Source organism: Homo sapiens, chromosome 4 (genome assembly GCF_000001405.40).
Source record: "Homo sapiens chromosome 4, GRCh38.p14 Primary Assembly".
In the NCBI taxonomy this organism is placed as follows: domain Eukaryota; kingdom Metazoa; phylum Chordata; class Mammalia; order Primates; family Hominidae; genus Homo; species Homo sapiens.
Window position 1 is genome coordinate 125,314,573 of NC_000004.12, and position 14,706 is coordinate 125,329,278.

The 14,706-nt window shown below is 42.2% G+C and overlaps 1 protein-coding gene across 6 annotated transcripts in view, besides 1 other annotated feature; it reads left to right on the forward strand.

Annotated features, from left to right (window-relative positions):
* The window catches only part of FAT4 (FAT atypical cadherin 4), a 177,978-nt gene continuing 163,654 nt past the window's right edge, over positions 383 to 14,706 (forward strand). For 3 of the 6 annotated variants that reach the window (NM_001291303.3, NM_001291285.3, NM_024582.6), the window contains exons 1-2: positions 383 to 1,405; positions 1,828 to 7,014. In NM_001291303.3, coding sequence (NP_001278232.1) covers positions 1,840 to 7,014 — 5,175 coding nt within the window. In that variant the 5' untranslated portion in view covers positions 383 to 1,405; positions 1,828 to 1,839. Of the gene's footprint in view, positions 7,015 to 14,706 lie in introns of all 6 variants that reach the window. The other 3 variants (NM_001438396.1, NM_001438397.1, NM_001437895.1) reach the window with 2 other exon arrangements.
* Positions 11,011 to 11,615: an enhancer, noted in NCBI's record as "OCT4-NANOG hESC enhancer chr4:126246738-126247342 (GRCh37/hg19 assembly coordinates)". NCBI's record gives its function as "activates a minimal SCP1, AML or CMV promoter by ChIP-STARR-seq in naive H9 embryonic stem cells {active_cell/tissue: H9 hESC(naive)}" and the evidence as "EXISTENCE:reporter gene assay evidence [ECO:0000049][PMID:30033119]".

Here is a 14,706-nt window from a genome sequence, read left to right on the forward strand (position 1 = left end):
TCTTCCCCCAGACCCTGCCACTAAAGTTATTTATCTGCAAACCTGACCCCACCCCCATCTATTCTGCGGCAGCCTTTTGCTGTTATTGCTCTGACGCCGGCCAAGATTTGGCCGAAAAGGAAAAAAAAAAAAAAAAAAGAAAAGAAAAAAAATCACCCCCCTTTTTAGCGCCTCCGCCTCGCTGTGCTCCCACACCAGACCGCCTACAGCCCTCCGGGAGGCTGAAGTGATTAGCATCCCGAGAAGCCAGTCGGAGGCCGGGCAAGGCGGAGGGCGCTCGCGGTAGGAGTGCCGGTCGGGGCTGCTTCAGCTCCGGCCCAATGGGGCTGGGGCGAGGGAGGGGCAGAAGGTGACAGGACTGGGAGCTAGGGGGAGTCCAGGCGAACTAAAGTGCGGGGATCAATGAGTGTCGAGCAAAGTTTCTGAGTGCTGCTCCAGCTCGCGGTCTTCCCTCCCCCTCTGTTTGTGTTTCGGCGACGCGCTGTGTGTGTGTGTGTGCGTGTGTATGTGTGTGTGTGTGCATGCCTGTGCGGCGGGGAAGGGGCGGGGAGAGTGTGAGGGACCAGGCGGGAGGTGGAGAAGGGCTCGCGGAGCCCTAGCTCCACCGCAGTCCAACCTTCGGCCCCGGCCGGCGAGAGGGAGAGCGCTGACAGGCGCCGTCCGGAGCTGCGGAGGGCGTCACTACAGCCCAGCGCCGACTTCGCCGCCTCCGCTGCCAACTGTGAAGGAGAGAGAGGCATCAACCACCCCCCGCCCCAAACAAAAAGCCTTGTGGATTACAAAGTGAAACTGACACGGGACAATAAAAGCAGAGATAGCGAGGGCAGGGGCGAGGCGCGCTAGAGTGGGCTTCTGACTGGGGCCGCCGGAGAACGACCCCCCCTGGCATGGTGAGGGGAGGGCGACTCGGGGACCGCACGCTGTTTCTGCCCGACCCCTGCGAGGCCGAGAAGAAAGGGGAAACTGCGTTCGATTTGGATGTACAAATAATGGGTCGGCAGGCGCCCCGGCAGAGGTGAAAAATGCCGAGGAGCCCTGGCTGTTGTTTGTGCCGGACCACGGGCTTGAAGCCGCAACAGGGGCGGCGGCGGCGGCGGCTGCAGGAGGGGAAGGGGCAGAGTTGAGCGCTCCCGGGTACGGGAGCCAGAGCGCGAACGCTAGCGCTTGGAACGCAGTTCCCGAACTGCCTGCGCGCAGACGCCGCCGCCTGGGCCTCAGCGGCCACTGCCGGCGCCCTGTTGGAGGGGCGTTGCAGCCTGGTTTTTGAGGAGTGGGGACTCCAGGAATTCCATCGCCTCCAGCTTTTGGGAAAGAAATTCGATTCTCCCGGTTCCCCACCACCCCTTCCCCGGTGCGCAGTTGTGCTTGGACGTTTGTTCCTCCCTCTTCACGTTCTTCGCTGCGGGTAAGTTCTAAAGTTTCTGAAGACCGTTCTTTGCAATGATTCCTCATATACCTTAGATACAGGCAACTTCTCCCAACTCTCATCCACCCGGGTGAAAACGCTCAGACTATCTGGATTCAAAAACAAAGTAAAAGGGGGCATATATAAGAGGCTTGAGAAACTTTTCTGGGAACTCAGCTCACAGGAGTGTCCCGCGGAATGCCCTGCCGCTTTTCGCCACAGCATCTCTCTTGCACTCCGCGTTCAACTGGCTACCTAGAGTCTTTTGCTGATGCTACTTGCTTTTGCCGGACTGGAGGTTCTTTGAAATAGCAGAGGTCTCAGACCAAGCCGTCAGCTGAATCTTTGCTGGCGCTCCTTAATCCCTGTAAATATCATTGCGTTTGCTTCACCCCTTCCTTCTCTTTATCACATCGTTTTAGGGAGCCAGGACCATGGACTTAGCACCAGACAGGGCTACTGGCCGCCCGTGGCTCCCGTTGCACACTCTATCAGTATCTCAGCTCCTTCGAGTGTTTTGGCTACTGTCATTGCTTCCGGGGCAGGCCTGGGTCCACGGGGCCGAGCCGCGCCAGGTGTTCCAAGTGCTGGAAGAGCAACCTCCAGGCACTCTGGTAGGCACCATCCAGACGCGCCCCGGCTTCACCTACAGGCTCAGCGAAAGCCACGCCCTGTTTGCCATAAACAGTAGCACCGGAGCCCTGTACACCACCTCCACCATCGACCGCGAGAGCCTGCCCAGCGACGTGATCAACCTGGTGGTCCTTTCCAGCGCGCCCACCTACCCCACCGAAGTGCGAGTGCTGGTGCGGGACCTCAATGACAACGCCCCCGTTTTCCCGGACCCCTCTATCGTGGTCACTTTCAAGGAAGACAGTAGCAGCGGACGCCAAGTCATCTTAGACACCGCCACCGACTCGGACATCGGCTCAAACGGTGTGGACCACCGCTCCTACCGCATCATCCGCGGCAATGAGGCGGGGCGCTTCCGTCTGGACATCACCCTGAACCCGAGCGGCGAGGGAGCGTTCCTGCATCTGGTGTCCAAGGGCGGACTGGACCGTGAGGTCACTCCGCAGTACCAGCTCCTGGTTGAGGTGGAGGACAAGGGTGAGCCTAAGCGGCGGGGCTACCTTCAGGTAAACGTGACTGTGCAAGACATTAATGACAACCCCCCGGTTTTTGGCAGTTCTCACTACCAGGCGGGGGTGCCTGAGGACGCGGTTGTGGGTTCCAGCGTCCTCCAGGTGGCGGCGGCGGACGCGGACGAGGGCACCAACGCGGACATCCGCTATCGCCTGCAGGACGAGGGGACCCCCTTCCAAATGGACCCTGAGACGGGACTTATCACGGTGCGGGAGCCCCTGGACTTCGAAGCTCGGCGCCAATACTCGCTTACGGTGCAGGCGATGGACAGAGGCGTGCCTTCCCTCACTGGGCGCGCCGAGGCGCTGATTCAGCTGCTGGACGTGAATGACAATGACCCGGTAGTGAAGTTCCGCTACTTCCCGGCCACCTCGCGCTACGCCTCGGTAGATGAGAATGCTCAAGTGGGCACCGTGGTGGCTCTGCTCACCGTGACGGACGCAGATTCTCCCGCGGCCAACGGGAACATCTCCGTGCAAATTCTCGGGGGCAATGAGCAGCGCCACTTTGAAGTGCAAAGCAGCAAAGTGCCGAACCTGAGCCTAATCAAGGTGGCCAGCGCCTTGGACCGCGAGCGCATCCCTTCCTACAACCTCACAGTTTCCGTCTCTGATAACTACGGGGCGCCCCCTGGCGCAGCAGTCCAGGCGCGCTCTTCTGTGGCAAGCCTGGTGATTTTTGTTAATGACATCAATGACCATCCTCCTGTCTTTTCACAGCAAGTGTACAGAGTGAACCTGAGCGAGGAGGCGCCTCCGGGAAGCTATGTGAGTGGGATATCTGCCACTGATGGCGACTCTGGTCTCAATGCTAATCTGCGTTACAGCATTGTCTCTGGCAATGGACTGGGATGGTTCCATATCAGTGAACATAGCGGCCTCGTGACCACTGGGTCCTCTGGGGGCCTGGACCGTGAACTTGCTTCCCAGATTGTTCTGAATATAAGTGCCCGGGACCAGGGAGTTCACCCCAAGGTGTCCTATGCCCAGCTTGTAGTAACTCTCCTAGATGTGAATGATGAAAAGCCAGTATTTAGCCAGCCAGAAGGGTATGATGTGTCTGTGGTTGAGAATGCCCCAACAGGGACAGAACTGTTGATGCTCAGGGCAACTGACGGGGACCTGGGTGACAACGGAACAGTGCGCTTCTCCTTACAAGAGGCAGAGACTGACCGGAGGTCCTTCCGTCTGGATCCTGTGTCTGGGAGGTTGAGTACTATTTCCTCCTTGGACAGAGAAGAGCAAGCCTTCTACTCCCTGTTGGTTCTGGCCACAGATCTGGGCTCCCCTCCCCAGTCATCAATGGCTCGCATAAATGTGAGTCTTCTGGATATAAATGATAACAGCCCTGTCTTCTACCCGGTCCAATACTTTGCTCACATTAAGGAGAATGAGCCTGGAGGTAGCTACATCACCACTGTGTCTGCCACTGACCCAGACTTGGGTACCAATGGTACTGTCAAATATAGCATATCTGCTGGGGACAGGTCTCGGTTTCAGGTCAATGCTCAGAGTGGGGTTATTTCTACAAGAATGGCCCTAGACAGAGAAGAAAAAACAGCTTATCAGTTGCAAATAGTAGCTACTGATGGTGGCAATTTACAATCTCCCAACCAGGCAATAGTAACCATCACTGTATTGGACACTCAAGACAACCCACCTGTATTCAGTCAGGTTGCCTACAGCTTTGTGGTTTTTGAGAACGTGGCGCTGGGATATCATGTGGGTAGTGTGTCTGCATCCACCATGGATCTCAATTCCAACATCAGTTATCTCATTACTACTGGGGATCAGAAAGGTATGTTTGCTATCAACCAGGTCACTGGGCAGCTTACCACAGCAAATGTGATTGATAGAGAAGAGCAATCCTTTTATCAGCTGAAGGTAGTGGCCAGTGGGGGCACAGTGACTGGAGACACTATGGTTAACATAACAGTTAAGGATTTGAATGACAACTCTCCCCATTTCCTTCAGGCAATAGAGAGTGTAAATGTGGTGGAGAATTGGCAGGCAGGTCACAGCATTTTCCAGGCCAAAGCTGTGGACCCTGATGAAGGTGTCAATGGCATGGTACTCTATAGTCTGAAGCAAAACCCCAAGAACCTGTTTGCTATCAATGAAAAGAATGGCACTATTAGTCTGCTTGGGCCCCTGGATGTTCATGCTGGCTCCTACCAAATAGAGATCTTGGCATCTGACATGGGTGTCCCACAGCTCTCCTCTAGTGTCATCTTAACAGTTTATGTCCATGATGTAAATGACAATTCACCAGTGTTTGACCAACTCTCTTATGAAGTCACCCTTTCTGAGTCAGAACCTGTGAATTCTCGATTCTTTAAAGTACAAGCTTCTGATAAGGATTCAGGAGCAAATGGTGAAATTGCATACACCATTGCTGAAGGAAATACAGGGGATGCTTTTGGCATATTCCCAGATGGTCAATTGTATATAAAAAGTGAACTGGACCGTGAACTTCAAGACAGATATGTTTTAATGGTTGTTGCTTCTGACAGAGCAGTGGAACCCCTTAGTGCTACTGTGAATGTTACTGTAATTTTAGAAGATGTAAATGATAACAGACCTCTTTTTAACAGTACCAATTACACATTTTACTTCGAAGAAGAGCAGAGGGCTGGGTCGTTTGTGGGCAAAGTAAGTGCTGTAGATAAAGACTTTGGGCCAAATGGAGAAGTAAGGTATTCTTTTGAAATGGTGCAGCCAGATTTTGAGTTGCATGCCATCAGTGGGGAAATTACAAATACTCATCAGTTTGACAGGGAGTCTCTTATGAGGCGGAGAGGGACTGCTGTGTTTAGCTTTACAGTCATAGCAACAGATCAGGGGATCCCTCAGCCTCTCAAGGATCAGGCCACTGTACATGTTTACATGAAGGATATAAATGATAATGCTCCCAAATTTTTAAAAGACTTTTACCAAGCTACAATATCAGAATCAGCAGCCAATCTGACACAAGTGTTAAGAGTATCTGCCTCAGATGTTGATGAAGGTAATAATGGACTTATTCACTATTCTATAATAAAAGGAAATGAAGAAAGACAGTTTGCTATAGACAGTACCTCTGGTCAGGTAACACTAATTGGCAAATTAGACTATGAAGCAACACCTGCCTATTCCCTTGTAATTCAAGCAGTGGATTCAGGGACAATCCCCCTCAATTCAACGTGTACTTTAAATATTGATATTTTAGATGAAAATGACAATACCCCTTCTTTCCCTAAATCAACACTCTTTGTTGATGTTTTGGAAAACATGAGAATTGGTGAACTCGTGTCCTCTGTTACTGCAACTGATTCCGATTCAGGTGACAATGCTGATTTATATTACAGTATTACTGGGACTAACAACCACGGAACTTTTAGCATTAGCCCAAACACTGGGAGTATTTTTCTTGCCAAAAAACTGGACTTTGAAACACAGTCTTTGTATAAATTAAATATAACAGCAAAAGACCAAGGAAGACCTCCTCGTTCATCTACAATGTCAGTGGTTATTCACGTGAGGGACTTTAATGACAATCCTCCTAGCTTTCCTCCTGGAGATATTTTCAAGTCTATTGTTGAGAACATTCCCATCGGTACATCTGTCATTTCAGTGACTGCACATGACCCTGATGCAGACATTAATGGTCAACTATCCTACACAATCATTCAACAGATGCCAAGAGGCAACCACTTTACCATAGATGAAGTCAAAGGGACTATATATACTAATGCTGAAATAGATCGGGAATTTGCTAATCTCTTTGAGTTGACTGTAAAAGCCAATGATCAAGCTGTGCCAATAGAAACTAGACGGTATGCTTTGAAGAACGTGACCATTTTGGTTACAGACCTCAATGACAATGTCCCAATGTTTATATCACAAAACGCCCTTGCTGCAGACCCATCAGCTGTGATTGGTTCCGTTCTGACAACAATTATGGCTGCTGACCCAGATGAAGGTGCTAATGGAGAAATAGAGTATGAGATCATCAATGGGGACACAGACACCTTCATTGTTGATCGTTATAGTGGAGACCTGAGAGTGGCTTCAGCGTTGGTGCCTTCACAGTTGATCTACAATCTCATAGTTTCAGCAACAGACCTTGGGCCTGAAAGGAGGAAATCGACCACTGAATTGACCATCATTCTTCAGGGCCTTGATGGACCTGTTTTTACTCAACCCAAATATATAACTATTTTGAAGGAAGGAGAACCCATTGGCACAAACGTGATATCAATAGAAGCAGCTAGCCCCAGAGGATCTGAGGCCCCAGTGGAGTATTATATTGTTTCAGTTCGTTGTGAAGAAAAAACTGTTGGACGCCTCTTTACTATTGGACGACATACTGGTATAATTCAGACCGCAGCCATTCTGGACCGGGAGCAAGGAGCATGTCTTTACCTGGTGGATGTTTATGCCATAGAAAAATCAACTGCTTTTCCCAGAACACAGAGAGCAGAGGTAATGATTTTGTAGTCATTTATTATTTGTTGATTTGCTTTTTAGAAAAATCATTCTCTTTATATTTACTCTCTATAATTGTTTACCTTCATTGTTTATTGTTAAATTTGTGAACAGGAACACCTAAAAATGTTCTGTCAAAGGCTAACAGAGAGTTACATAAACTTTAGTTTTAATCTTGGTTGCAACTAAACAACAAACTTTCTTTTCACTTTATATTTTACTTTATAGCAATCACATATATAAGGTTAAGGAGAAATCTTTAGCCATTTCAGAGGGGAAAAAATCCATATATCTAAGCTAAATTGCTGAGGTAATCTAAATACCACTCAATAAGGAAGGCTACCAGAAGATGGGCACTTTCAGAATTAAGAAGACCTATTCCAAAATGAAGAGCTTTGGTAGGAATCAGCATTGTACCATAGCTCTTCAGGAAGAGTGGCCATGGAGGATGGGCTGACAGTGTACACCAGGACAGTATTAACTTTCACATCCTCAGCAGTCTTGGCAGTTTCTTTATAGACAGTGACTAATTTTAATGTGCTGAGCCAAGTTTTGGAAGATTCCTGATTTCATCTGCCTTAACATTTTAGACACTGTCTTCTGACTTAGGATAATCCTTCCTTTTCCCTCTTAAATTAAGGCATGCAATGGGCTGTGAATAATCAGAGACTAGGGATTGTTTCTTGACAATACTGAGTTCAATGCCATGGGATAGATACACTCTGTTCTGTTTGTTGGTGAGTAAGAAATTAGTGTTTCATAGCATAAGCCAAAAGAATTCCAAGCTCAGCCTTCCCTGGAGTGTATTTTAGGCTACTGCCTCCTTGTATCGTTGATTTGCTTTTTAATTGAACTACTTTCAATGTTATTTTGATAATCAACTAGAAATGATATAGCTATACTCCAGAAAACTCTTGTTTGCTGTTTCTCAGTTCATTCTTTCCCTCCCCAGGCCCCTCAAAGACATTCTAGTGTCAGTCAGCCAAAAACACAAACATCAAATGTGGTTTGTGATACTTGGCAGTGACCCAGACACAACATGCAAGTGAAATTGAGGCTCATGTGCTTGTTTTCTTGCTTCTTTTCTTTTTTGGGGGGAGGAGGTGGGGATTTTCTTTATTTTAAATGATAATTTATTATTATTATTATATATTTTTGTATCCTCTGTGATTTTTTTTCATAGTAGTTGGTTATGTCTATCTATGGATGGGGAAGAATATTTATGGCTTAAAGGACCATATTAATTAGAGATATAATTCTAAGGGGAATTCAATTTTATCTTTACCTACATAGCACTGAAAGGATTTCTAAGCCAAATAACCTCTTTTACCTAATTATTTAAAAAATATTTTAATATAGGGCTTATATGTTGAGCTATTTGGTGTAGCTCAGGCCATGATTTATATGTAATTGAATTTTGATTTGAAGTTATCCATCTTCTAAACCCACAATCCTCTCTCTAACTTTCTTCTCTGGAATGAATACTTACATGAAAATATTTGATTAGTTTGAAAACCAAAATATTGATTGAAGGCAGGAAATTAAGTCATTCCAGACTTTAGATGAATTTGTTAAACTGTAAAACAGATTATGTTATTAGATGCTGTTGTTTGGTTCAGTGTAGTACATTTTATTAGAATACTATGGAGAATGAGAATAAATGCTCAGTTTTATCATTAGATTTATTGTGTCTTTTTTATTTACCCATTAGCTATGCAAAGATTGGCTTAGCATGAAAGTATTAAATAGTGCTGCCTCTGCAATAGGCAAGAAGATTAAAAATGTTTATAAGTAATTTTGTTATTAATAGGGGATGATTTGTTTATTACTTTTTATAAGTCAAGTAACACCAATATGAAAAGTTATCATATATACTATGTTCTATTCATTTAAAAATCTGGGGAGAATTCAATGTGATGATTTTTTTAATTAAAAAAAAGTCAGCATATCTTCTGTGAACTTAAGTGCTGAAATTGTAAACCCAATTTGAGTTCTCAAGATCCAACCACTTTGAAAATGAAAAGCAAATGTGTTTCTCCAAAGAATATTGAAAGCAGTGGTTGTGAGCTAGAATTTCATATTATTATTGGTTGGATTTTTCAAGTGTATACAATAAAGTGCTGTTTTCCTTCTGCTCAAACAATTAATTTACTGTGATTCTGCAAAAATAAGTTATACATTTCCTCTTGTTATCAAAGGCGATTTTTAAATTGTTTGTTTAATTGGACTTTGTCCAGCGCATTTTAAAAAATTATTCATGTACACTGATAAGAGTCTGGGTTGCTTACTCAGGTTTCTGGCAGAGTCATGCTGATCACATTCCATGGGCAGGCAGAGAGTCAGCGGGTAAAAGAGAAACAATTTCATCTGCATTCTTTTCCTAGCTCTGACATTTGGGGTAAGAGGCTAATGACTATGACTCTGATATTGTTCATTCCAAAGATGTGTCCAGTTATACACCTTTACTTACGCTACTTGTTATATCCAAAGATTTGGCATTGGTAGTAATGTCATTGAAAGATTGTGTTTGGGTTTCAGACACAAGATTAATTACCTTTTTATTTTGTCTCTTTATGTTCTCAGAAGAGCTTAGATAGTCTTGATTATGTTAGAATAGGCCATGTAAAGTTTGTGGCATTTTTCTAGGTTCACCAAAAAATAGATATATGTACTTCAGTAAGCATTTATCCTTTAATGTGTATTACATAGGAACATGCAACTTAGGAACGTGGTTAGACCTCATGATGGTCAGGGGCTTGTTTTATTGGTCTTTGTTATTTCAGACCGTGGCATATTACCTGATGTATAGTAGGTGCTCCATACATGTTTGCTGAATAAGATGGTAGAAGACCTAAGATCAGAACATATGTCTTTATAACTTGGGAATAAATCACCAGAGAAAAGCTGAGGAAATGAAGGAAGTTAATAAATCTGATGCTGCTCATTAATTGAACTCAGGTCAGAGCATAATAATTATCTCTGCTCTACAAATGAATTGATAACTGTCAGGAAACTCAACAAGGAAGAGGAATTTACGTGGGTGTTCTGATATGGAGCTTAGTGTTTAAATGGAAGGAAGCAATCTTATACATTCAGGTAGTCACCAGGCCATAGTTCCCAAACTTGCTACATTCAGGACCCCTTTATGCTCTTAAGAATTGTCAAGGACACCCCTGGAGACTTTGTGTAAGCATGTCTTGTCTATTGATATTTACCACTTTTAACAGTACAACTGAGGAAATTAAAAATATTTGTTAATTCATTTTAAAACTACATTATATTTTAAATATATAACATGTTTATTTTGTTTTAAAAAAGTTTATTTTTTCTAACTAAAAATTAAAGAGTGGCATTATCTTACATCTTTACAAATCTCTTTAATATCTAGCTCAATAGAATACAGCTGGATTCTCAAATCTTCTTGGGCAATATATTGCAATATGTTGTGTTTTTGGCTAAAATATACAAGCAGAATCCATCCTTACACAGATATTTTGAGTGGGATAATAGAGAAATAGTTTGCCTACTGCATCAGAAGTCCACAGTGGCAGTTTCTTAAGACTTACTTGCAGTGTGGAATATGAAACCCTGTCAGCAAACTTTTCATAGTCTGTTACATAAAAATACATTTATCTCGCATTCGTAATGATTTTTTTTTACCTATTCCTGATTTAGAAATATCAGGCATTGATCATTTCAAAATTATTGGTGTAACTGATAAGGAATTTATCATAAAAGTCTTTAATATATGACTCTCAACCTGTTGGTGATGGTTAGAAGTTTTCCAAATTTGAATTTTTACTCGAAAGCTCAAATTTCACTATTAGTAACATATATTGTTGTTTTCCTGGAAGTGTCAGGCTTCCTTTGTTCATGATAAAAAGAAAAGATTATGCATACTCAAATATTTAAAAAGAAACAGTTGCTCTTTCGAGTAAAAATCGTATTCCACAAATCAAGTGGCTAGTTCAGCTTACAATTCAATTACACATATGCATTTCTTTGAGAAAACCACAATACCTAGGTACAGAGTAATGGGTCTTTGTGCACATATTGCTTTGTGTCACACAGGATATTGAAAAGACATCAAAGTTGAGTCTAGATTTGATAAAATTAATACGTTTTTTGTTTTCTCAAGAAAACTTATTTACCTTTTTAAATGAAATAGTTTTGTTTGTTTGTTTGTTTTACTGTGAGTATGTGGTGGTGAAGAACACAATTACTGCTAAAGTACTTTGGATCTACTGCTTTGATTTGTGCTAAAGTACCACCAGTTTTACCCACCATTGCTTTTGCACCTCTAGCATAAATGCCAACACAGTGAACAAAGGCAGAGGATGGTTTGCATTATCATGTAAACAGTGTTGATTTCCCAGGACTCCTTAAACAGGTCTCTGGTTTGCATGGAGGTCCATGCATACTCCACAGTGAGAGAACCATTGGTGTGGGTAGTGAGATTTTGGCAGTTCAGTTAACAACCAGGAAAAAAAGAGCCACTCGAAATAATATATTAAAAGTATGTTTGGAATATTAGGTAAATGGACTATGATTCATTAATGATTACAAATGAGTTTTAGCAATCTGATAATAAATTAATTTATTTTCACAAGAAACTATTAAGATTTCCAAGAGAAATGATGGAGACATTTGTGAGGTCAGTTTTGGATACAAACGTTAGAAATGATTTTCTTTCACAGGGTTTTGAATCACAGTAGTGCACCTTAGATTAAATGTCTGTATATCTTGTGTATTGAACCTCACAAGCAGAATACAGGCAAGAGAGCTGGATATATAATAACTGTTATTATTATAAAATTTATTGAATATTGCTATGTTTAGACATAATGATAAGTGCATAGTGATAAGTGCATTTTTAGGGATTTTATTTAACCCATACAATACTAATATCATTTGCATTTTGTAGCTATGGAAACTGAGTCTCAGATAAGTTAATAAGTCGCTTAAGTTCATATAGATAGAAAGAAAACCATATCCAGACTTGAGTAACTTCACAATGCATCCTCATAACTACTCTTCTATCAAGCTGGATCAGTCTGTGGTTTTGGTTAAGAGAAAAGCTCTTTGCCCTATAGCTATGATGATATATGTATGCTTTTTAATAACTTTGTTTTCACTCTCTGATTTGTTGCTTAAAAAGCATTTAAGGCCAGGCAAAGTGGCTCACACCTTAAATGGGAGGCCAAGGCAGACAATTCCTTGAGGCCAGGATTTTGAGACCAGCCTGGGCAACATGGTAAAACCCCATCTCTACTAAAAATACAAAAATTTGCCGGGCATGGTGGTGCACGCCTGTAGTCCCAGCTACTTGGGAGGCTGAGATAGGAGAACCACTCAAACCCTGGGAGCAGAGGCTGCAGTGAGCTGAGATCATGCCATTGCACTCCAGGCTGGGTGACAGAATTAGACTTTATCTCAAAAAAAAATTCATAAGTATTTTTATGTATTGTGTAAAATAAAGGGAAACAATTTTTGCCTACCACAGCTAAGGCCCTCAGCAGATCGGTTACATCCCTAGGCATCATTAGTGGTGGTAGCAAGGAGCCTAAATTGAATTAGGAAGACTTCCAAGGGTTTCTAGAGCAGGGAAGAAGATGAGAATTTGAGAGAAGGGAGCTGAAGGCAAATGGAGAGCAAAGGTAGATGAGGGGCCTCTTCTAACCTACAGCACTATTCACTTTGGAAGCAGTCACTGGAGTTTAAGAAGGTGGAGAATTATTTTTGAATTTTTAGGTGATAAATCATCTTCTTTGGAATAATGATGGGGTTGGAGTGGATGGAGTGTGAAGATTATTTTAAATAGGAAAACATTTTACTGCTTCCTATGTGTTTGAAGTCAAGAGTGTTTCTTTAAAAAACAGCCTGGGATAAATTTTTTGATTTTGTTTCTTCCCTATTGGTATGTTTTTAAATGTATTGAACAAAATGCTGTGAATTAAAGGGCTTTATAAATTTTTAAGATGGGTACAAATGTGTATGACAAACAGGATTATTGATGGCTAATTATGTTCATGCTGCATATTTTATATATATCTTCAGGATGCTTGATTTACTCCTGCTGCTAGATTTCTATAGACATAACTCATCTTCCAATGAATTTACAATTTATTACTTTTTTATCTTTATTAAAACCCTAATGATTTTAATTCTTTTTTGTTTTATTCAATTTTGAGGAATCTGCTCTAGGAATAGTTTTGAAAAATAGTTATTTACTTAGAATTTTGTGGAATCAATTTTTCATTGCATTGTCTGCAGCTTGCACTTTGTCATCATTAGAGTGAAAAACTGCCTAAGAACCTCATTAGTTGTGAGGGACTGTTGCATTAGTGACTGTAGCAAACTGCATAGGCCCTGAGGTGGGTTCTGTATTTCAAGAATTAATAAATCTAGGCCCAGCGCTTTATAAAACCCATAAAAGTAGGTGGTATTCCGAATTAGGCACTCGTGAGTGGAAATAGGAAAAGAATAACTGGCAGGTAATGTGGGTCAAGATGAATATAAAGTGTCCAATATAGAATATGGTAAATATTTTCTAATAATTTCAAGCTTTATGTAGTCTGTGACAAAAGTAGCCATTTTAATAGTATGTTGACTGAGAAGGAGAGTATAGGGAATGCAGACAGGTGAAAATATTCTATTAAACAAACATTCTGTATAAAATACACACATGTAATTATATATTAACACGTATGCCCCCATTGTACAAAGACTGTTGGCTTTTCTTTGCTCTTAATATCCTGAGACAAAATTGGACAATTAAGTCATGAAGAGGAAACAATCTAATTGGCAGATAATTTATATGTGGTAATTAAACAGTGATTATAGGACCACAATCTTCTTCAGTTTCCAGACGTGTATGCATTTTTAAGAAACGATCAGTGAGTAAAAACCAAAGAATTTTAAGGCTTTGAAGAAATGTTGAAAGACATTTAGAAACATGCTTTGCTACTGGCAGGTGGGAGCAAGTGGCATTTTTGATGATTGTTACAGATTATTTGACATTTCTCTAAGGCTTTTTATCATTCACAGATTCTAACATATATAAATCGTTTATGTTATTGTTAGACACTGGTAAACAGTCTTGCCAGGTGCTGTCTTGCCTTTGCAATGGTTCTGGAGGTAGATACAACATATCATCATTTGACAAATGAGAATACTGAGGCTCATGGAGGTTGCTTATGGAGTTGGTTTATGGTGGAAGCAGGATTTAAACCCAGCAGTCTGCCTCTGAAGTCTGTGCATTTAGTTCCAACACAGCACTAACTAATGCTACTTGTAAGAATGATTATTTCTATACATTTGTAGACATAATTCTCACCATGTAAAAAGTTGTTTTCATATTTCTATACTTGTTCATGTTAATGATGAAAAAATATAAGATAAAATGAAATTTTGGTGATGAACCAGTAGTAGGATTACTTTAGGTCCCTATCAATCTTTGTTTAGGTCCCTATTAACCTTTATAATCTTTATTAACCTATAATCTGTTATTTCTTCATTTTGCTTTCTAAATCCCAAGGCAGGAATATATTTCCATTCTTTCAGTTGCTCATTTATTTTCTTCCCTTTGCAGCAAAACTTTTTGAAAGAGTTGCCTGTACCTGCATTTTTTCTTCTCATGATCTCTTAAATCTACTCCCATCAGACTTGGCCCCTGCCACTCCAGTGAAA